The 24,698-nt window shown below is 36.0% G+C and overlaps 1 long non-coding RNA gene across 6 annotated transcripts in view; it reads right to left on the bottom strand.

Moving 5' to 3' along the window:
- The window catches only part of MEF2C-AS1 (MEF2C antisense RNA 1), a 584,252-nt gene that overhangs the window by 257,878 nt on the left and 301,676 nt on the right, over nt 1-24,698 (bottom strand). The window contains exon 7 of one of the 6 annotated variants that reach the window (NR_136219.1): nt 5,652-5,737. The exons of the other annotated variants lie outside the window; for them this stretch is intronic. This is a non-coding gene — a long non-coding RNA (MEF2C antisense RNA 1). The remainder of the gene's footprint in view (nt 1-5,651; nt 5,738-24,698) is intronic. 6 annotated transcript variants of the gene reach the window in all.

Below are 24,698 nucleotides of genomic sequence, written 5' to 3'. Positions count from 1 at the left end.
CTATATATTACATGAACAAAAATAAGTTTCGTTAACTTTTAAAAAATTATAATATTGTATTGTCTATGTTTTCAGGAGAGCCAATAGCTTGTTCAGAGAGGAAAATAGTGATTTGTAATTCTTTGGAAAAATTAAAGTCTTAAGTGATTATACATTCTTTAGGGATGTAACAAAACATGCTCCAGCAAATTTGCTGCTATCTTTCCAGTTGGAAGAACAAAAGACTGCAGCGAACATATTGAATGTATCTGTAAAAAATGAAATTTATGCCTAACGCCAAGATATTATGTCTATAAGTAAGAGGCAAGGGAAAGCCTCAGTGGCCTTGCATAACACAACTGTTTTAATTATTTCAACAAACATTTGTTGAACACCTATTCTGGGCCCCCTGTTGGATATTGTGATTTCTGAGGTGAAATAAAGGATCTTAGCAAGAAATGGAAACTGATCTTATTTCAATGGGGGGATAATAAGGACCTCTGCACAGGAAAAAGAAAAACAAAACAGCATAATGAGTGAGACAAAATTCTAGCTATCCCAATTTAAAATGTAATTATGACCTCCAATACAAGACACAACTTGGAGGGCACAATTCCTTGGTGTTCTGGCTACAGCTGTGCAGGGAAAGAGTCAGGAAATCCATTCACATATGAAAAGGGTGCTTTAGCACAATGGCACCGTCTGTTTTCTCTGTCCTCACTTTGTTAAGTCCAATTTTTCCAATGAGCACATCAGATATGCATGTTACTCACTCAAGATCTATCTGAGGCTCTAATGCATCCACAATATAAAGTGAACGAGCTTTTATCTGAAAATGCTTGTTATGGAGAAAACAGACAACCATGGGTACAAAATAAGACATTCAACTGTGAGTCAAGTAGGAAGATAAACAAGAGCTGGAGTCTTGCTTATGGGAAAACAAAAGTAGTTTGGGAAGTTTTAAAAATTATAGTAGTAAGCAAATAATAGATGCTTAATATCTTATAATAAATACATTAAAATTTTGAGACAATGTCTTTCTATAGAGCAGGGGTCAACAAACTATGATGACCTAAAGGACAAGCCTGGCCCTTTGTCTCCCACAGGTTTTGTAAATAAAGTTTTATTGAAACACAGCTACATTCATTTGTATATGTAGTCTATGGCTGCCTTTGATCTACAATAGAGTTGAGCTGTGGCAACATAGATCATATGACCCACAAAGCCTAAAATAACTGGACATTTATTGAAAATGTTTGTTTTAACCCCTGATGTAGAATTAGAAACTATCAAATCCTCATGGCCAAACATATTAGAGTGTCCTCTCCCATCTCAATCTATTATTTTCATTAATTTTTCATTCATTTTTTCAAGCTTGGGGTTGCTTGGAGTCCAGTTTAATCATCTAAGGCCTGGCTTGCTGAAAAGTAACACCTTTAGATCCAGAAGGAGTCTGCAGAATGACTGGTGCGTGCGTGTGTGTGTGTGTGTGTGTGTGTGTGTGTGTGCGCGCGCGCGCGCGCTATCTTGGATGCACTGAAGGAATTGCTGCCTTCTCTTTAAGGAGAAGTTTGTACTGGAGCAATTTCTTGGAAGAATCATGTGGAAGCAATAGATGCAATGGCATGCCATATAAATGGTGAAACAGGGAGTAAGATTGCCCAACATTCCCCGATCTTTGATGAAGGTGAGAGAAAGAGAAGCAATATGAGTGTGCATATATACTGAAGATTTATAACAATTGTAAGGCACCCATTAATCATTAAGGTGGATCTGATTCTCTACTTGAGGTCTAATGAAAAGTTTCAGATAATTTATAAGTGAATCTATTTGATATTCTTTTTTTTTTTTTTTTGAGATGGAGTCTCACTCTGTCTCCCAGGCTTCAGTGCAGTGGCACAATCTCGGCTCATTGCAACCTCTGCCTCCTGGATTCAAGCAATTCTCCTGCCTCATCCTCCTGAGTAGCTGGGATTACAGGCACTCGCTACCACGCCCAGCTAATTTCTTGTATTTTTAGTAGAGACAGGGTTTCACCGTGTTAGCCAGGATGATCTCGATCTCCTGACCTCAAGTGATCTGCCTGCTTTGGCCTCCCAAAGTGCTGGGATTACAGGGTTGAGTCACCGTGCCCAGCCTGATATTCAATTATTCAGTAACAGTTTCACAAGTATCAAACTAGTAGAAGAAAATTTTAAATGTGTTTATTAAAGAGAGAGTATTTGTAAGAGGGTTAGGAAACCATGACTAAGTAGAAATAATGCTTACTTATTGAGCATTACACATGTAAGCCAGTAATTATTTTCCAACCACTAGTGGTAAGACACTTTAAAACTTATTTTGCCAATACAAAAAAGATTAATTAAGCAAGAAAGGGGTCATATGCTTCACAAACATTTATTGAATATGAACCACATTCATGAATGTCTAATAGTTGATTTAAAAAAGAACACTCACTTCTTAGTTTTAGGATGCTTAGAATATACTGAAGAAGCCAAGGCAATTAACCTCTCCCCACCTCCACACTGAGTTTTATAACAGAGACCAAAGCACAACTGTTTTTTCCTCCTAATGAGACACACAACACCCCCTCTCACAGACTCAAGCTTAAGCAATGGGTTCCATCGGGCAAATATAGTGATAACCAATACTTATTGCCAGTCATTCTACTAAATGCCTTGTTTACATTAATTCATTTAGTTCTCAGCAACAACCTATAAAGGAGTAATAATTATCATACTTCCTCACATTTAAAACAATATAGATTGTTATACATGCCATCATGGAATGTAGCACCAAGAAAAAAGGTGTTACCAATTAAATTATGATATTGCATCTATTGCAATACTCCACCTAAACTCAGAGAAGTTAATTGTGAAAATGTATACTTCTTAGATTCAGTTTTTCATGTGAGAAAACCAGAAGGCAAATAGGTAAATTTTCTTGCTTGAGGACACTAGGCTGGAAAGTGGCATAATAGTGAGTTTGAGTTCTTAAACACTGAACTCCACTGCATATGATAGAGAATTGGGTGTAACATATTGGATTTTCCAGGAAATACAAAGGTGTTGGTTGCAGGCCCAAACAGCAGGGAGCAAAGTTGCAGAAAATTAATATTTGCCACAAAGAAGTCCTTTTCTTCCTGTGCCTTATGAATTCTTTCTGTACAAGCACCTGTTATTTTAATCATATCTGGAGTTTTCATACCTCCCTTATATTGCATTATAATCACGAGTTGAGAGAGATCAAGTGAGAGCAAGAGGGCAAGACCAGTCCATAAGTATGTGTTAATTTAGAACACACTGGGAAAATATTAATACCACACAGACAGCACTTCTATATAGCAAAAGCATCTGTGAATATATATGACACTAAAACTGAAAATATTTAACTGGTAAGTATGTATTCATATATTTATATGCTATAATAATATATAGAGTTATAAATTACACATTTTAATGCACATAAGATTATTTTGCAAAGGTCTCTGGGATGAGAACATTTAAGTAAGATAGGGAACACCTGTATATATCTTATATATCAGGACTTTTATAAGTCATTACTTACAGGGAAAAAGAAGAGCTGAAAAGCTGTCAACTGTCTAAGGGCCAAGACTGTGCGTTGGCCACTACTTAGTATAGCACTGTCCACAATAAGTTTATTTGAAGCAAATTTATGGCTTTTTATATCTTCATCATAAAAGCACTTGTTCTTCATTTTGCAAGTCCTTAAGTTGTGGTAAAAATATGTTATCATACATATCACATATAATAAGTATCACACATTGCTGAATATGACTTTTTGGTGTGAAATGCAAGTTTCAGGATTTCCACTATAACTGTGAAACTAAAGTAAATTTTCAATTGTTTATGACCTCAATGGGCCAGAAAACGAGAGAACCAACTTATCAGTATGAAAGGCAAGTTTCAGGATTCCAGTATAACTGTGAAGTTGAAGTAAATTTTCAACTGCTTATGACCTCAATGGGCCAGAGAAAGAGAGAACCTTTACATATTCCAGATACCCTTAACAATTAAACAGGTAAATCTACAATTTGTAAACTTATTATTGACACAGAAGAACAAGATAGAACTTTGCAATTTATAAATATTTGTTGTTGACCCACACTTGATCATCAGTAACCATGTCTCTTGCAGTGAGGTTTGAAGTTGCTTGATGAGATCCACTTGGGATGAGACTAAGGCCACCCTAGATCATATGTTTTAGCTTATCCAGTCCCACAAAATTTGAACCAAATGAAACCTCATTGCCTTGCATCATGTTTAAACTGAATTTTCCTTTCTAAAGCCAGAATCGATTTCATTCTAATTGCAGTTATTTTGTCCTATCTCATCCCCTATAATCAAAGTATCATTTTAAAATGTTAAGAAACTATAGACGTCAAGAATAATTGGAAATGAAACAAAATGTAACAATTCGATCTTTCATGAGTTAGTCTTCATATCAAAATATAAACTGAAAAAGGATTTTATATCTGGCATGCTCTGGATGCAATGCTAGCAAAGTTATGGAACCAAAGTAGAAAAGTGGCAAAGGGCAGAAGAGGAAAAATTAAAAGTCTATGTAGAACAATGATTGTTTACTTAAAATGCAAGGGATATTCTTTTGAAGTGAATATTGTCCTAAGTGTTAAGCCAAAACCAAAATTATATGAATGGAAAGAAAGTAAAGGCTTTGAGTCCCTGATGGATTTTTAAAATTCCTGTGGAAAGTTTGATGGGCTGTCTTTCTTCTTATAAATAAACTATTGTGGTTTTAAGACATGTGTTGTGTCTTGGTTTATTTAATTCTGAAGAGCAGAAAAAAAAGATCACTTGGTGGGTAATACACAATGTATTGGCATTCAAAGTAAATACAACACATCATGTTTAAATTAAAAAAGGTTTGCCTCAGAATAAAAGCCAAAAGGCAACATAAAAAAAAGACATTGTGGTTGTGAAGGAACTCCAATATCTATAAAAATGATTTCAACTAAATTATAACAAGAGAAATGTTCCTCACTGAGCAGATAAACTCATCCTACTCAGTTTGATTTTAAAATTATTAAACATTTTCTCCATTACTAGAGAGGACAAAATGTCTAGCTTAATTTTAAAAATTATTAGAACGGAGATGCTTCTTGGGCATTTATTAGGTAGACTCTCATCTAATTCATATTTCAAAATTTTCCTCATAGGTTTTAATGACATACATCAAAGCAACCTATGATAAAATTGACTCAAACAATAAATATATGGTTGTTTGCTATTTAGAAAACCTTTTGTTTTTTTAGAGTTACAGAGGCTTTGGTTTCATTTAATTCTAAATTAATCTTTATGTTAATAGTCCTTGGAAATACAGATATTTGAGAGATTTTCTTCAGTCATATTCATTTGACTTCACCTGAGCATTCCAATATACTATAATGTAAACAAACACAGTCATATATATAAACTTTGTATATAAAGTCTGTATGTATATATACACACACATGACTTTCATGTCAAATTTGAAATGTTTAAAACTACCAAAAATATGTAGAAAGAAGCTATGTAAAAAGAAACAAAATAGGGTAGAAATTTTTTTAAAAAAATGATATTTAACTGGCCCTAAGAGTATGATATCTCCAAATTTATACCAATTTTGAAAGCCTAATAGAATCAGTATCTTACCTTATATGATATAGAATCCATGTATCCTTATTGAAATATAACAAGGTATTCCTCATCAATACTATACTTTTTCCTTCATGGAGTCTCTATGAGGAAAAAAAAAACAGTCTGCTTTTCCTCTGCTCTCACCCCACAACAATCAACACAGAAGACTTCTGTGAACAAATGTTTGGAGATTTTTCCCCACACACCAAGCAAGCAATCAATTATGTGGTGGACACCAGCTGGGTATCCTCCAATTTAATTCCGACACTATCTACCCTGGAGAAAGTTTCAGATCCCACAAGTTGAGGACTTAGTCCCACAAGATTGCCCCAACTTCTGATGCCAAATCCAAGCCTCAGGTTGTTGTGTTTCTCATGGACAGGCTATAAATTGCGGTTCCCAAGACTCACTCATTGGATTCAATTAATTTGCTAGAGTGGTTCACAGAACTCAGGGAAACACTTATGTTTACTGGTTTATTACAAAGTGTATAGATGAAGAGATGGATAGGGTGAGGAGCTTCCAGCTCCCCGCCCCACCCCACGTCCCCACCCAGGCACATCATCCTCCAGAAACCTCCATGTGCTCAGCTATTCTGAAGTTTTGAACTTTTGGATTTTAATAGAACATTATTATGTAGGTTGATTACATCATTAAATACTGGTAATCAACTTAATCTTCAGCCCTTCTCCCCACCCTGAAGATTAGTGGGGAGTGGAGCTGATAGTGCCAATCCTCTAATCATGGCTTGGTCCTTCTGGTGACCAGTTGCCATCCTGAAGCTGCTAGAAATCAGTCAACTCATTAACATACAAGAAGACATCACCATCACTTTGGCGATTCCAAGGATTTTAGGAATCATATGCCAGAAAACAGGAATGAAGACCAAATACATATTTTATAATATCACAGATCATAGCCAATTATTCCACTAGTCATTCCAGGGGAGGGGGTGACCGGAATAAACAGAAGAGAAAATTTACACACAGACAGACTGAGAAACAAAGTTAGGATACTGGCTATCGAATATTTTTGATTGAAGTATCTTTGGATAAAAAGGTACAACATCTGCATTTATAACTAACATAGAAACCATCATGTTCATTCATACTCAGTTTTTTATGCATCTCTTCCATTTTACAAGGTGCCCAAATTAGAAGAAATTTGCCCCCATAAAAAACCATTTCACTTTATCTTTGTAAGTGTTTGAAGTCATAGCATTGCAATATATTTCCAGTGTTGGAAATTCCACATACCCATATCTGCAATATACCAACTTACTTTTTCATACCTTCCCTCCAGCAAAAAATTCCCAGAATTGTCCTCAGAGGACCAACGGCATCAGAATTAATGGGACACATTTTGAAAATACAGATTCTTGGGACAAAGCCCAAATCAATAGAGTCAGAACCTCCCTAGGTGGAATCTAGAAAGCTAGAGATGTTTTATAAGTTTCCCAAATGATTCTTGTGGATACTCCGTTTTGAGAACCACTTATAACAGTTATGCAGGGGGCCACAGAGAAGGAAGAAATGAAGGGTACAAAAGCTAACTTTGTGGATACATAGAACAAGAAAAATCATATAAAAGCAATTCAAAGTAATCAAGAGATCATAAATAAGGGCTAACATGCAGAACTCAAGTTCAGATAAGTGATAGAAGATTAGGATGAATAAACAGACTGATCTAGATAAGACAGATATTTCTGATGGATCAAGGCCATCAGATACCTAATGAAAAAAAACAAGTTTTGGGGTAGGATAAATTTCCTCTTCCAAATTACTTGCTTATAAGCTGTGCACATTATTTTCCTTGTTATTTATTGATTTATTTTTTTTAGATGGAGTCTCGCACTGTCGGCCAGGCTGGAGGGCAGTGGCACCATCTCGGCTCACTACAAACTCTGCTTCTCGGGTTCAAGTGATTCTCCCACCTCAGTCTCCTGAGTAGCTGGGATTACAGGCGTGTGCCAGCACGCCCAGCTAATTTTTGTATTTTTAGTAGAGACAGGATTTCACCATGTTGGCCATGCTGGTCTTGAACTCCTGACCTCAAATGATCCACCTGCCTCAGCCTCCCAAAGTGCTGAGATTACAGGCATGAGCCACCATGCCCAGCCTATTTTCCTTTTTGTTATACAATTGTCAGTATTTTGCAAGACATTGTGGGATCTTGTCATAAAAACCTAGTTTTATTAAGCCAAACCTTTCGGTGTTATTTGTAATGATTTAAGCACTGAATTCTGAAGTTTAGTTTTTAATACAGGCGTTCCATGTGAGGTGGCTGCCCCACGGTGAGGTGATGGTTTCAATACATTAAATGAAAGAAGAAATCAGTTCTCTAAATTTTCCTAATCTGAAAACACAATAGCTAAACATCTCTCAAATGAGCTTAATGAGCTCAACTAGGGTAATAAAGAACCACCCCTTTACCATGCTTAGGATTCATATAGAATTTCAGTAATAAAATAATAGGTTTAACTTTGGACATAATTACTAAAAAATATTAATTTCACTCAAAATATCACTATATTTCAAGCTATATTTGAAAACAATTTCTCACCAAGCAATAAAGATTTAAATTGACTTACCACTTAACACATGTTCAAAAACACCTTTGGATGGATGAATTAATTGATAAATTGCAATAAATCAATACATCAATGTACATTCAACTTTGTCACTTAAAGGAAGTGAAAAATCATTGATATTTTAGTAGTTTAACATTGAGAAGTAAATATTCTAGTAACCTCCTTTAAATTATTCAAATTAATATAGTTAAATAGTATTCAGAGATTTCATGAAAATTAGTTTTTGCCCCCAGTTTGATACTTATTTTTGTGTCAAGATTGCTACCAAGACTCTGGCAGCTGAAGCCATGGAGTCTAGTGGCTGAAAACCAGACTCTAGTGGCATAGTGGGCACAGTGCCTAGTTTCAAACGTAACTCTCCATTTTATGTGGGACTTAGAGTAATAAATTTGAGTATCTATGCCCAACTGCCTTTCCTATAAAATGGGGATTATTACGCTAACAGTAACTGCCTCTAAGACTATAAGGAAATCTAAAGAGATGACTCATTCTTGGTGCATAGAATGTCCCCAATAACAATTTGTTATGACTGAGACTTTTTTCCATTTTTATTTTCATCACAGCAAGCACATTTTGTTCATTGTTTACCTTCAAAAAACTTTTCTTTTTAATTTTAAAATTATTATAGTAATATACTGCTTTCGATTGGTATATATGTATATGTATGCACGATTATTTTTGAATAAAAAGGTTGAGTAGCAAAATTTAGTTTGAAAGCCAACAAAATATTTTTTTATTTTAATTAAGAAATCAAAGTGTGTCTAGCTTACATATGTCATCTAGTTTGTTTTCTAATAATTCTGTAAATTATGGATTATTATTTGTATTCCCAATTATAGACGCGGTAAGTGAGTCTCAAAAATGCAAGATTCTTTCCCTCAGCCACAAAGCTAGAAAATGGGCAAAGCCATGATTAAAACATTTTGAGAAGATAGCAGAATAGGACTCTCTAGCATTCATTCCCGCATAGCAACATCAATCTGAACAACTATCCATACACAAAAAATACCTTCACAAGAGCTAAGGAAAACAGGTTAGAGATTACAGCACCTAGGTGTAGCACCGAAATAAGAAAAGATGCATTAAATAGGGCAGAAAAGATAGTTTTACATTACCCACATCACCCCCTCCCAACCACAGGCAGCATAGCTCAGAAAGAAAGGAGTACCAGACTTTGCCCTGCATTCCAATGCCAGGCCCAATCCAGTAAAACCCAGTGCTGATTAGGCTCCTACAGCCTCAAACTTTAGGCCAGTATCCACAGTCTTAGTCTCCAAGCCCACCCAGCCCCAGGCCAGATCCCATAAGCCCTGGCTCCAGGCAAGCCTTGAAATCTTGGTCTCCAGGCCCATCCCAACACCAGGCCAACTGCAGTAGCCCCAGATTTTGGGTTTAACCCAGTGCCAAGCTAAGCTCAGTGACACTGGAATTCAGCTTGCTCTCCAGCTGTCCCAGACTTCTCACTAATCTGTTCAACGAATTCAAGAGCAGTCCCAATCTTGAAACATGCCATACAACTTGCCCAGAATCCCTGGACAGGCTGACTAGTGAAAGCCTTTCTCAGGCAAAACCAGTCTTCAAAAACTGAAATAAATCCCTACTTCTTCAAATGTGTACTCATTACTGTAAGGCAACAAGAGACATAAAAAATTAGGACGCATACCACTGAAAAAACATAACAATCTCACAGTAGCTGATCCCAAAGAGATACAGATATACAAATGGTCTGACAACTTGAAAAATTATTTTAAAGAAGCTCAGAAAACTTAAAGAAAATAAAAATAAACTACTCAATAAAATTAGAAAGACAATGAATGACCAAAGTGAGAAATTTATCAGATATTGAAATTATTTTTAAAAATCAAAATTCTAGAACTGAAAAATATAATAAATGTAATGAAAAATGCAATCGAGAGCATTAACAGTGAATTGACTAAGCAGAAGAAAGATTCTGTGAACTCAAAGACAGGTTACTTGTAAATATACAGTTAAAGAAGAAAAAGAATGAAAAAGAAATAAAGATAGATGTGTGGAACAGCATTAAAAGAGCAAACGTTCAGGTCATAGCAGTTCACAAAGAAGAGAAAAATAAAGGAATAGAAAGCTTACTCAAAGACATAATAACAGAGGCTGGGCATGAAATAAAAAATGCAATTGAGAGCATTAACAGTGAATTGATTAAGGAGAAGAAAGATTCTGTGAACTCAAAGACAGGTTACTTGAAAATATACAGTCAGAAAGGGAAAAGAATGAAAAAGAAGTAAAGACAGATGTATGGAACAGCATTAAAAGAGCAAATGTTCAAGTCATAGCAGTTCACAAAGGAGAAGAGAAAAACAAAGGAATAGAAAGCTTGCTTAAAGGCATAATAACTGAGACTGGGCATGGTGGCTCATGCCTGTAACCTCAGCACTTTCAGAGGCCAAGGCAGGTAAATCATTTGAGGTCAGGTGTTCAAGACCAGCCTTGCCAACATATTGAAACCTTGTCTCTACCACAAATACCACAATTAGAAACAGGTGATGGTGTGTGCTTGTATTCCCAGCTAGTTGGGAGGCTAAGGAAGGTGATTGCTTGAACCTGGGAGGCAGTGGTTGCAGTGAGCCGAGATCATGCCACTGCACTCCAGGCTGGGCAACAGAGTGAGACTCCGTCTCAAACAAAAATAAAAATAAAAAGACATAATAGCTGAAAACTTTCCAAATCTGAGGAAAGATACAAATGTTCTGGTAAAGGAAGGTCAAAGATGTCCAGTCACGTTCAATCCAAACAAGACTAAACCAAGATATAATCAAACCATCAAAAGTCAAAGACAAAGAGAGCACCCTAAAAGAAGCAAGAGAAAAGAGTTACATAACATATAAGGGGCTCTGATAAACCTAACAGCAGATTTCTCAGCAGAAACATTGCAGACAAGGAGAGAGTGGTTATATTCTAAGTGCTAAAGGAAAATACTGGCAACGAAGAATACTGTATCTGGTAAAGCTGTCCTTCAGAAATGAAGGAAAAATAAAGATTTTCTCAGACAAACAAAAGCTGAGGAAGTTTCTCTAATACAGACCTGTATTAGAAAAATGCTAAAGAGTTCTCTTCAAGCTGAAAGCAAATGACTCTAACTGATAATCCAAAAACATAAGAAACTATAAAACTAACTGTCAATAGTAAGTACACAGTCACAGTCAAAATATTCTGATACTATAATGGTATTGTGTACCCACTTACATCTTTAGTATGAAGTGGGTACTGTGTACCATTGGTGTGTTATATTCAGGAGGCCCATCTTACATGCAAAGACACAAACAGGCTCAAAATAAAGGGATGAAGGAATATTTACCAAGCAAATGGAAAGCAAAAAAAAGCAGGGGTTGCAATCCTAGTCTGTGACAAAACAGACTAAACCAACAAAGATCAAAAAGACAAAGAAGGGCATTACATAACAGTAAAGGGAACAATTCAAAAAGAAGAGCTATTATAAATATATATGTACACAATACAGGAGCACCTAGATTCATAAAATAAGTTTATAGAGACCTACAAAGAGACTTAGACTCCCACACAATAATAGTGGGAGACTTTAACAACCCAATGTCGGTATTAGACAGATCAATGAGACAGAAAATTAACAAGGATATTCAGGACTTGAACTCAGCTCTAAATCAAGTGGACCAAGTAGACATCTACAGAACTCTCTACCCCAAATCAACAGAATATACATTCTTCTCAGTGCCACATGACACTTATTCCAAAATTGACCACATAATTGGAAGTAAAACACTCTTCAGCAAATGCAAAAAAATGGAAATCATAACAAACATTCTCTCAGGCCACAGTGCAATCAAATTAGAACTCAGGATTAAGAAACTCACTCAAAACCACAAAATTTCATGGAAATTGAACAACCTGCTCACTAATGACTCCTAGGTAAATAGTGAAATTAAGGCAGAAATCAGAAGTTCCTTGAAACCAATGAGAAGAAAGAGATAACATACCAGAATATCTGAGACACAGCTACAGCACTGTTTAGAGGGAAATTTATAGCACTAAATCCCCACATCAGAAAGCTAGAAAGATCTCAAACTGACACCCTAATATCACTATTAAAAGAGCTAGAGAGGTAAGAGCAAACTAATCCAAAAGCTAGCAGAAGACAAGAAGTAACTAAGATCAGAGAAGAATTGAAGGATATAGAGACATGAAAATTTCTTCAAAAAATCAACTAATCCAGGAGCTGACTTTTTGAAAAAATTCACAAAACAGATAGACCACTAGATAGACCAATAAAGAAGAAGAGAGAGAAGAATTAAATAGACACAATAAAAATGATAAAGAGGATATCACCACTACCCCAGAAAAATACAAACTACCGTCAGAGAATACCATGAACACCTCTACGCAAATAAACTAGAAAATCCGCAAGAAATTGATAAATTCCTGGAAAGATACGCTCTACCAAGACTAAACCAGGAAGATGTCGAATCCCTGAATAGACCAGTAACAAGCTCTGAAATTGAGCAGTAATTAATAGTCTACCAACACAAAAAAGCCCAGGACCAGATGGATTCACAGCTAAATTCTACCAGAAATACAAAGAGGAGCTGGTACCATTCCATCTGAAACTGTTCCAAAAAATTGAAAAGGAGGGACTCCTCTCTGATTCATTTTATGAAGCCATAATCATCCTGATACCAAAACTGGGAAGAGACACAATAAAAAAAAGAAAACTTCAGCCAATATCCCTGATGAACATCGATGCAAAAATCTTCAATAAAATACTGGAAAACCGAATCCAGCAGCACATCAAAAAGCTTCACAATCAAGTCGGCTTAATCCCTGAGAGGCAAGGCTGGTTCAACACACATAAATCAATAAATGTAATCCATCACATAAATGGAACCAAAGACAAAAACCACATAATTATCTCAATAGATGGAGAAAAGGCCTTTGATAAAATTCAGCATCCTTCATGTTAAAAACTCTCAATAAACATGATGGAACATGTCTAAAAATAATAAGAGCTATTTATGACAAACTCACAGCCAATATCATATTGGATGGGCAAAAGCTGGAAGCATTCCCTTTGAAAACTGGTTCAAGACAAGGATGCCCTCTCTCATCACTCCTATTCAACATAATATTGGAAGTTCTGGCCAGGGCAATCAGGCAAGAAACAGAAATAAAGGGCATTCAAATGGGAAGAGAGGAAGTCAAGTTGTCTCTGCAGATGACACAATTTTATATTTAGAAAACCCCATCATCTCAGTGCAAAAACTTCTTGAACTGATAAGCAAATTCAGCAAAGTCTGACGATACAAAATTGATGTGCAAAAATCACAAGCATTCCTTTACACCAACAACAGGCAAGCAGAGAGCCAAATCATGAATGAACTCCTATTCACAATTGCTACAAAGAAAATAAAATACCTAGGAATACAGCTAACGAAGAATGTGAGGGACCTCTTCAAGGAGAACTATTAACCACTGCTCAAAGGAAAAAGAGAGGTCACAAACAAATGGAAAAACCTTTCATCCTCATGGATAGGACGAAACAATATCATGAAAATGGCCATACTCCCCAAAGTAATTTACAGATTAAATGCTATTACCATCAAACTAAAATTGACATTCTTTACATAATTAGAAAAACACTATTTTAAATTTCATGTGGAATCAATGAAGACCTGATACAGCCAAGACAATCCTAAGCAAAAAGAACAAAGCTGGAGGCATTACACTACCTGACTTCAAACTATACTACAAGCCTACAGTAACCAAAACAGCATAGTACTGGTACCAAAACACACATATAGAACCATGGAACAGAACAGAGACCTCAGAGATAACACCACACATCTACAACCATCTAGTCTTTGAAAAACCTAACAAAAACAAGCAATGGAGAAACGATTCCCTATTTAATCAATGGTGTTGGGAAAACTGGCTAGCCATATGCAGAAAACTGAAACTGGACCCCTTCCTTACACCTTACATAAAAATTAACTCGAGATGGAATAAAGACTTAAACGTAAGACCCAAAACCGTAAAAACTCTAGAAAAAACCCTAGGCAATACCATTCAGGACATAAGCATGGGCAAATACCTCATGGCTAAAACACCAAAAGCAATGGCAACAGAAGCCAGAATTGACAAATGGGATCTAATTAAACTAAAGAGCTTCTGCACAGCAAAAGAAACTATCATCAGAGTGAACAGGCAACCTAACAGAATAGGAGAAAATTTTTGCAATCTATCCATCCGACAAAGGGCTAATATCCAGAATTTACAAGGAACTTAAACATATTTACAAGAAAAAAACAAACAACCCCATTAAAAAGTGGGAGAATGATATGAACAGACACTTCTCAAAAGAAGACATTTACACTGCCAACAAACATATGAAAGAAATCTCAACACCACTGATCATTAAATCAAAATGCAAATCAAAAACACATTGAGATGCCTTCTCACACCAGTCAGAATGGCGATTATTAAAAAGTCAGGAAACAATAGATGTTAGCAAGCCTGTAGAGAAATAGGAATGTTTTTACACTGTTGGTAGGAATGTAAATTAGCTCAACCCTTGTGGAAGACAGTGTGGCAATTCCTCAAGGATCTAGAACCAGAAATACCATTTGACCCAGCAATCCCATTACTGGGTATATACCCAAAGGAATATAAATCATTCTACTATAAAGACACATGCACACGTATGTTTACTGCAGCTCTATTTACAATAGCAAAGACATGGAACCAACCCAAATGCCCGTGAATTATAGACTGGATAAAGAAAATGTGGTGGCTGAGTACAGTGGCTCACGCCTGTAATCCCAGCACTTTGGGAGGCCGAGGGAGGTGGATCATCTGAGGTCAGGAGTTTGAGACCTGCCTGGCCAACATGGCACAACACCATCTCTACTAAAAGTACAAAAAAAAAAAATTAGCTGGGCATGGTGGTGTGTGCCTGTAATCCCAGCTACTCAGGGAGCTGAGGCAGGAGAATCACTTGAACCGGGGAGGTGGAGGTTGCTGTGAGCCGAGATCACACCACTGCACTCCACCCTGGGTGACAGAGCAGGACTCCCTCTAAAAATAAAAATAAAAAAAAAAAAGAAAAGAAGATGTGGTATATATACATCATGGAATATTATGCAGCCATAAAAGGAAATGAGATCATGTTTTCTGCAGGGACATAGATGAAGCTTGAAGCCATCATCCTCAGCAAACTAACATAGTAGCAGAAAACCAAACACCTCATTTTCTCACTCATAAGTGAGAGTTGAACATTGAGAACATATGGGCACAGAGAGAGGAAAAACACACACCAGGGCCTATTGGGGGATGGGGATTGAGGGGAGGGAACTTAGAGCATGGGCTGATAGGTGCAGCAAACTACCATACCACAAGTATACCTACGTAACAAACCTGCACGTTCTGCACATAAAATAAAACAAAAATTGAATGTCCTATGTATGGAAACCCTACAAACTCCACCAAAAACTATTAGAACTATTAAATAATTTCAGTAAAGTTGCAGGATTCAAAATCAACATATGAAATCAGTAGTGTTTCAATTGACTAACAAGGAAGTATCTGAAAGAGAAATCAAGAAAATAATTTCCTGTATAAAAAACACAAAAAATACATAAGAACAAAATTCTAAAATTTGTATGGAACCATACAAGACTCCAAAAACCAAAGCAATCTTAAACAGTAAGAACAAAGTTTGAGGCATCACAATACCTGACTTCAAAATATGCTGCAAAGCTATAGTAATCAAAACAGCATAGTACTGGCATAAAAACAGACACATAGACTAATGGAACAAAATAGAGAGAAATAAATTAATTAATTAATACATTTATGGCCCATTGATCTTCAAAAAAGGCAGCAAGAACACGTGGAGAAAGGATAGTCCCTTCATTGACTGGTGTTGGTATATCTGCATGCAAAAGAATGAAACTAGAACTTTATCTCACATCATATACAGAAGTCCACTAAAAATAGATTGAAGACTTAAATGTAAGACTTGAATCCATAAAACTAGCAGAATAAAACATAGGAGAAAAACTCCACAACATTGATCTAGGCAATAATTTTTTAATAAGAACTCAAAAGCATAGACAACAATAGAAAAAAAAATGAGATTACATCAAACTTAAAAAATCTTCTGCACAGTCAACAAAATAATCAACAGAGTGAAGAGGCAACCTACAGAATAGAAGAAAGTATCTCCATACCATACATATGATAAGGCTTTAATATAAGGTGTGGTGGCTCACACCTTTACTCCCAGCACTTTGGGAGGCCAAGGTGGTAGGGCACTTGAACCTAGGAGTTCAAGACCAGCCTGGGCAACATAGGAAGAGCCTTGTCTCTACAAAAATAAAAATAAAAATAAAAAAAATAGCCGGGTGTCTCTAGCCTCAGCTACTCAAGAGGCTGAGATGGGAGGATTGCTTGAGCCCAGGAGTTTGAAGCTCCAATGAGGTATAATTGTGCCAACGCAAACAGCTCAATGGTAAGAAAATAAATAACCCAATGTAAAAATGGGCAAAATATCTAAATTAACATTTCTCAAAAGAAGACATACAAATAGCCAACAGGTATATTTAAAAATGCTCAACATCTTTAATCATTAGAGAAATGCAAATTAAAACCAAATTGAGATATCCACTTACATATGTTATAATGAATATTACAAAAAAGAAAAAGAAAAAAGTGTTGGAGAGGATATGGAGGAAAAGGATACCTTAAACACTGTTGGTAGGAATATAAAGTAATACTACTACTATGGAAAACAGTATGAAACAGTATGGAGTTTCCTCAAAGAATCTTAACAGGAATATCATATGATCCAGCAATCTCACTACTGTGTATATAATTAAAGGAAATTAAATCATTAAATCCAAGAGATATCTAAACTCCCATGTTCATTTCAGCATTGTTCACAATAGCCAAGATATGAAATCAACCTAAATGTATATCAATAGATAAATAGGTAAATCAAATCTATTACATAAACACAATGGAATACTCTTCAGCCTTAATAAAGATGGAAATCCTGTCCTTTGGGACAACATGAATGAACCTGGAGGACGTTATGTTAAGTAAAATAATCCAGGCACAGAAAGACATACTGCATGATCTCACTTATACATGAAGTATAAAAAGTTGAACTCACAGAAGTAGAGAGTAGAATGGTGGTTACCTGGGGCTGTTAGGGAGGGAAATTGGGGAAATGTTGGTCAAAGATACAAAATTTCAGTTAGCTAGGAGGAATAAGTTCAAGAGATCCACTCTACAGCATGGTGACAATAGGCAATAACAATGTATGATATTCTTGAAAAGTTGTCAGGAGAATAGATATCAAGTGTTCTCACCACAAAAATAATAATTATGTGAGGTAATACATATGCTAATTAGCTCAATTTTGCCATTTCATGATGTATACATATTTCAAAACAACATATTATATATAATTTTTTGTCAATTAAAAATAAAACATTTTGACTCTACCACTTATGATTTTAAAATTATACTACACTGCTTTACGTAAATCCAGGATTTTAAACAAATAAGACATTTAAACAGCCTGAATATAGGAACTACCTTTAGGTGCAGGTAAGGAGTGAACTAGAGAGTAAAGGACATTAGGGAAGACCAACTGAGATAACAGGAACCAACTAAGATGGTGAGATGGCTGATATCTGCATATTCTGACCAAACTGACAGTCTACTCCAGATTACATTCTAACATGATTTTGACATGGTTTCCATTTCCTTAAATGACTGCTGTCTGCAGCTTCTTAAATCCATGTGGTAGCCATCCTGGAGAAGAATGCCTGAAATGAAACAGCTGCAAGGGTTCAGATGCCCCTGTCAATCTCATTTGTCATTTTCCATCAAAGCCATCTTAGTCCGACAGGCAGTTCTGTGGTATTCTTAGTTCAGGTCTACTTAGTTGACTGAATCACTATGACCTTTCTTTTTATGGCAATCTATTCGAACTGCTTCACTTGCCAGGGACCTCCCATTCACACTGTTGTTCTCCTCCCTCTTATCTCAAATATTGCCTTAGGAGAGATATTTTCTAATATCTAATACATTTCTAATAAATGTAGTTTTCTTCTCTTACTTTTTAAAAAAATGAACTATAAAAATATATATCACCAGTAGTAGCTCCTGATGGCAAGCTATGTTCAAAGCTCATTTAGAGAAAAATTTGAAAGGTCGATGCCTGGTACAAGTTAGAATTATGTTATATTGCTTGTGAATACATAGCTCCAGCATAAGAAGCTTAGAAACTCCCTTTACTTGGTGTTTTCTACCATTTCTGATTTAGTTTTTTTTTTTTTTTTTTTTACTGCATACCACAGGAAGCTACAATTGCAGCAATTTCCAGGGTCAGATGGGGAGAGAAGTCCTGGATGAAACTTAGACAGAACCACACACTTCCCTTCCCCAAACCCCCCAAGATGTGGCCCCTGGAAAAGGCCTTTCATAAAAAGGGCCTATCAGTTAAATGTCTCCTTTGTGGGCAGATCTGGCTCCAGCTAAGTCTAAAGGTGTATATAGAGAGTGGAAGTTTTTACAGCAATTGCTCAAAATTGTGTTTTAATTTCCATACACACATTTGGAATCTTGCGTTATTTTTAGTTTTTGCCATCACTGTTCAAACAAAGCAGCAGGTTAAAGCTTTTTTTTCTTTCCTAAATCATATGAAAACCACATATAACAAAAGTCCAATGCTATTTTAGACCAAGTAAATACAGACAAGTAGACCTTAGACCTCCTCTTGCCTTTTGGCTCTGCTTCAGTTTGAAGTAACAGAAGCTTTTCCGGAAAAAAGGAAAGAAAATTATAATTCTTAAAATGAGTCTAAATTTAGGAGACCTAACAAGTAATATTCCTGCATAGAGTTGTTTTAAATTCCATGTGGAACAACCTATAAAATACAAGACATTAGGTACCATGTCCTTTTGAATTTTTTTATTTTTAGGACAGTACATGTGGATGCATATTCTGACAGCATGTTTTGAAATAATAACCATGGAGATTAATTCAGTCCTTTATTAACATAATCAGCAAATATTAAATGCGTACCATGTACAAAGGCTTAGGTTGGCTTGGGAGAGAAACAGTGTCTTAGTCTAGAGCTGGCCCTCAATGAGTCACAGTCTAGAAGGGAGGTCAAACTATAAACAAATCATAACAACACAATGTGGAAGGTGTTAATGAATGTATGTATAAAGTGCCATGAGAACACTGAAGAATGAGCAAGTAACTGTGCAGGGGAGTCAAGAGAAAGCAATTAAGAAATTCTGACTGGGCGCAGTGGCTCACTCCTGTAATCCCAGCACTTTGGGAGGCCAAGGCGGGCAGATCACGAGGTCACGAGATCGAGACCATCCTGGCCAACATGGTGAAACCCCATCTCTACTAAAAATACAATAATTAGCCGGGCATGGTAGCGCACACCTGTAGTCCCAGGTACTTGGGAGGCTGAGGCAGGGGAATTGCTTGAACCTGGGAGGTGGAGGTTGCAGTGAGCTGAAATCACGTCACTGTACTCCAGCCTGGCCACAGAGCAAGTCTCTGTCTCCAAAAAAAAAAAAAAAAAGAAAGAAAGAAAAGAAAAGAAAAAGAAAAAAATAAAAGAAATTATTTACCAAAGAGATAGTATTTTAGCTGAGTTATCAAAGTGGGTCTAAGTATCCAATATGGTAAAAAAGCATAGGACTAAAGAGAACAAAACATACGTTACATTCAGACAACCAGAAGCGGTTTGTGTTAAATTTTAGGATGAATTTTAAAAGTAGGAAAGAACCAAAGTTTCTTATTGGCAGCTGAGGGATTTGAGCTTATTTTGGAAGAAATGAGGAGACTGAAAAACTTTATTAAGTAATAATTGTGCGACCTATTAGCAAGTGCAGCAGTATAGATGGGAAGACAGAAAGACCTGTAGGAATGGAGAAAAGGGCACAACACCAGGAACTATCCCTGAGAAAGAATCAAAAGGCTTTGGCACCTGATTAGTTGAGGGCGCTGAGGGAGACAATTGAATCAGAGATCATTTAAATAACCTCACAGGAGGCTTTTAGTTGCAAGTAATGGAACTCCAAGCTCAAAATGGCCAAAATAATAGGAGTCTCATACAAACAAATTGTACAAGGTTAGAAGAGTCACAGGAAGGGTTTCATCAGGGCAGCTCTGCTTCTCTGCAACTTCCTTGAACTGCTTTCTTCCAAACAGTAGGTTTTCTACTAGGCCGGCCCTCCTCATAGCAAGAACATACTGCTAGACTTAGCTGGGCCACATGCTTTCTGGTTAACACAAAGGAGAGAGAGATAGCATCTGTGAGCTTTGTCATGATAGGACTGGAAAAGGTCTTTTGCTCACCCTGAATCAATATTTGTGGGAGTGAGAATGTCATCTGCTAATTGGCTTAGCCCAAAGTTTCCACATGTAATCATTATGGCAAGATATAGATTTATCCTAATTAATTTAGACTTACCATGTCCCACCTCCTCAGCTGAGAACCAGATGCATTCCATTGAAAACCTGTCTGCTACACAACCGAACCAAAGGTAGGATATATGTGTGGGAGACACTGCAATGTCTACCAACAGGCTGAGCAAAATCAATGTTTATACATATTACTTTGTAAGCAAATGGTCAAGACTGATTTCTACAAGCGTATTTCCAAGTTGAAAAATGAACTGCCTTATTACCTTTCGTTCCCTGCAAAATGACAATATTCTGTAACTGATAGGCTTCTCCCTGATATAAGAAAAGACAGGTATTTAGATTTCTAATATTATCTTTCTTAGAAAGATAATATCTTGGAATATCAGCTAGGGAGTTCTAAAATTTGGGTAAAGTCTGCATTTCTCCTTATTATTTTTATTTAGGAACAAATCAGTTAACAATTCTCATTTTTAAACAATGCCCTAATATATGCTCCCAGTACAGTGACCAAGAAAACTTTTCTACCTATTTTACATTATTTCCTGTAAGTTTTCAACTAACTTGCATGCTTCTATTGGAATTATACTTATCCAGAATATGTACCATGAATCTTCTATTACAAAAAATACATTAATATGTTTAAAATTCTAACATAAAATTGACATAAGTGTGAATTTTCTATCATTCAGTATAAGTAAAAATGCAGAGATTAGCTGTTGTGTTTATTTTTTAAGTTGGCTGCATGCCAATTTATCAGTAAGGTATCATTAACTAAAATTCACCTGATTACCAAGACTCAAAAATTAGTTTGTTTGGTACTTTGTAAACTGGTGTTCAGAGGATTCAATAGGGAAATATATGTAGGGTCAGCCAGAGGGGTCAAATCCTGGCTCTGTCACTTATTAACCATATGATCTTAAGTATGTCAAGTATGTTATTTATATCTCTGGGTATCAGTTTCATCACCTGTAAAATGGAGTCTCATGACTTATGAGATAATAATAAAGATTATACATAATAAAATGTGTAATGAGCCTGCCCCACAAAGTGCTTGTGTTCTGCATTTACTGCTTGACTACTATACAACAAACTCAAGTATATTTGAAAAATAGGACACAACGTAAAAGTTCAGTAAACACCCTTATACGTTTTACAACATATGAATGGTAAGGTTTTTAAAAACATCTTCTATGGTTTTTTTTAAAGGTACAGGAAATGTTTAAAAGCTAGATAAATTATTGCTCTACTTAAGAGAGCTAATTGCAGAAAAAGAACACATTCATTGATTTTTTTTAATCCAAAATATTTGAGTACTTAACATGTGTTAGGCACTGCACTAGGCCCTGGGATACAATAATGAATAAGACAAACTCCCTGAAGCTTACAATCTTGGCACAACCAACAAACAACTAAACAAATAATTAATTATGTATCATCAAATAGTGTTAAGTATAATGAAGAAGAATGAGATAGAGGGAAAACCTAGAAAGTGACCTGGCAAGAAGGGGAGTTAGCAGGCAGGGTTTCAGATTGAATAATGACAGAAGGCTTCTTGCTAACTCTACATTAATGTCTACCACATAGGTTTTCTTTCAGTCTAACCAACAGAAATAACAGCTAAGCTCTCCTAGCTACAATTTTTATGAATGAAGTCTTAAAAAAATTCTGGCTTGATTTTCAAAATCAGTTTAACTTTACTGTTTGTTGGTTAATATGAAGAAATTATGAATTGGTTTAAAATTAAGGTAGATTGTCTCAGCAGTTGAAAGCATATGCCAACTTTTCAGAATATTAAGTTTTTAACCCAGTAAAGTAGCAAAAGATTTACTTTGTAAAGTTTAATATTTCCTTTGCTATCTGAGGACTACACATTTTTGGATTGTGTAAAGGGTACAATGCAGGCAGTTATTTTATTTTATTTATTTTATTTTATTTTATTTTATTTTATTTTATTTTACTTTACTTTACTTTACTTTACTTTACTTTACTTTACTTTACTTTACTTTACTTTAAAGTTTTAGGGTACCTGTGCACAATGTGCAGGTTAGTTACATATGTATACATGTGCCATGCTGGTGTGCTGCACCCATTAACTCGTCATTTAGCATTAGGTATATCTCCTAATGCTATCCCTCCCCCCTCCCCCCACCCCACAACAGTCCCCAGAGTGTGATGTTCCCCTTCCTGTGTCCATGTGTTCTCATTGTTCAATTCCCACCTAGGAGTGAGAACATGTGGTGTTTGGTTTTTTGTCCTTGCGACAGTTTACTGAGAATGATGATTTCCAATTTCATCCATGTCCCTACAAAGGACATGAACTCATCATTTTTTATGGCTGCATAGTATTCCATGGTGTATATGTGCCACATTTTCTTAATCCAGTCTATCATTGTTGGACATTTGGGTTGGTTCCAAGTCTTTGCTATTGTGAATAGTGCCGCAATAAACATGCTTGTGCATGTGTCTTTATAGCAGCATGATTTATAGTCCTTTGGGTATATACCCAGTAATGGGATGGCTGGGTCAAATGGTATTTCTAGTTCTAGATCCCTGAGGAATCGCCACACTGACTTCCACAATGGTTGAACTAGTTTACAGTCCCACCAACAGTGTAAAAGTGTTCCTATTTCTCCACATCCTCTCCAGCACCTGTTGTTTCCTGACTTTTTAATAATTGCCATTCTAACTGGTGTGAGATGGTATCTCATTGTGGTTTTGATTTGCATTTCTCTGATGGCCAGTGATGGTGAGCATTTTTTCATGTGTTTTTTGGCTGCATAAATGTCTTCTTTTGAGAAGTGTCTGTTCATGTCCTTTGCCCACTTTTTGATGGGGTTGTTTATTTTTTTCTTGTAAATTTGTTTGAGTTCATTGTAGATTCTGGATATTAGCCATTTGTCAGATGAGTAGGTTGCAAAAATTTTCTCCCATTTTGTAGGTTGCCTGTTCACTCTGATGGTTGGAAAAAACTACTTTAAAGTTCATATGGAACCAAAAAAGAGCCCGCACTGCCAAGTCAATCCTAAGCCAAAAGAACAAAGCTGGAGGCATCACGCTACCTGACTTCAAACTATACTACAAGGCTACAGTAACCAAAACAGCATGGTACTGGTACCAAAACAGAGATATAGATCAATGGAACAGAACAGAGCCCTCAGAAATAACGCCGCATATCTACAACTATCTGATCTTTGACAAACCTGAGAAAAACAAGCAATGGGGAAAGGATTCCCTATTTAATAAATGGTGCTGGGAAAACTGGCTAGCCATATGTAGAAAGCTGAAACTGGATTCCTTCCTTACACGTTATACAAAAATTAATTCAAGGTGGATTAAAGACTTAAACGTTAGACCTCAAACCGTAAAAACCCTAGAAGAAAACCTAGGCATTACCATTCAGGACATAGGCATGGGCAAGGACTTCATGTCTAAAACACTAAAAGCAATGGCAACAAAAGCCAAAATTGACAAATGGGATCTAATTAAACTAAAAAGCTTCTGCACAGCAAAATGGTACAATGCAGTTTTAAAGTGTGATTTAATTTACTTTGGAATTTAACGGCAGCTGATTTGTTTTTATTATGATCCTTTTAAACGCCTTCTCAATCAAGCAACACAATTTGTTACAGAGGACTGTCTTTGAGCTTAGCTGGACGTAACCATTAAAATGAAAAGACTGTTTCACCATGCATTGTGTATTGTATTGCATTGAAAGTGTGTTGATTATAAAACTCATCAAAATGTTATCAATGTTTAATAAATATATGAGAAATAACCTGATCAATTATAACAGTATCTACAGATGGGTGCAGACTGATATTTTATTATCAGCTGAACATAATAAAACTTTAAAAATTATCTCTAAGGATCCCTTCAAATTGTTTTTAAAGGAGTTTTATGTTCAAATACTGATTTCTATAAATTGAGGAGAAATATATACATGCATATTACACATAAATGTGTATACATAACGCATGTGTGTAATTGAGTCATATTTCAATCCTGCT

This window comes from Homo sapiens, chromosome 5 (assembly GCF_000001405.40).
Source record: "Homo sapiens chromosome 5, GRCh38.p14 Primary Assembly".
Taxonomy (NCBI): domain Eukaryota; kingdom Metazoa; phylum Chordata; class Mammalia; order Primates; family Hominidae; genus Homo; species Homo sapiens.
This window is presented reverse-complemented; position numbering and strand designations above follow the sequence as displayed.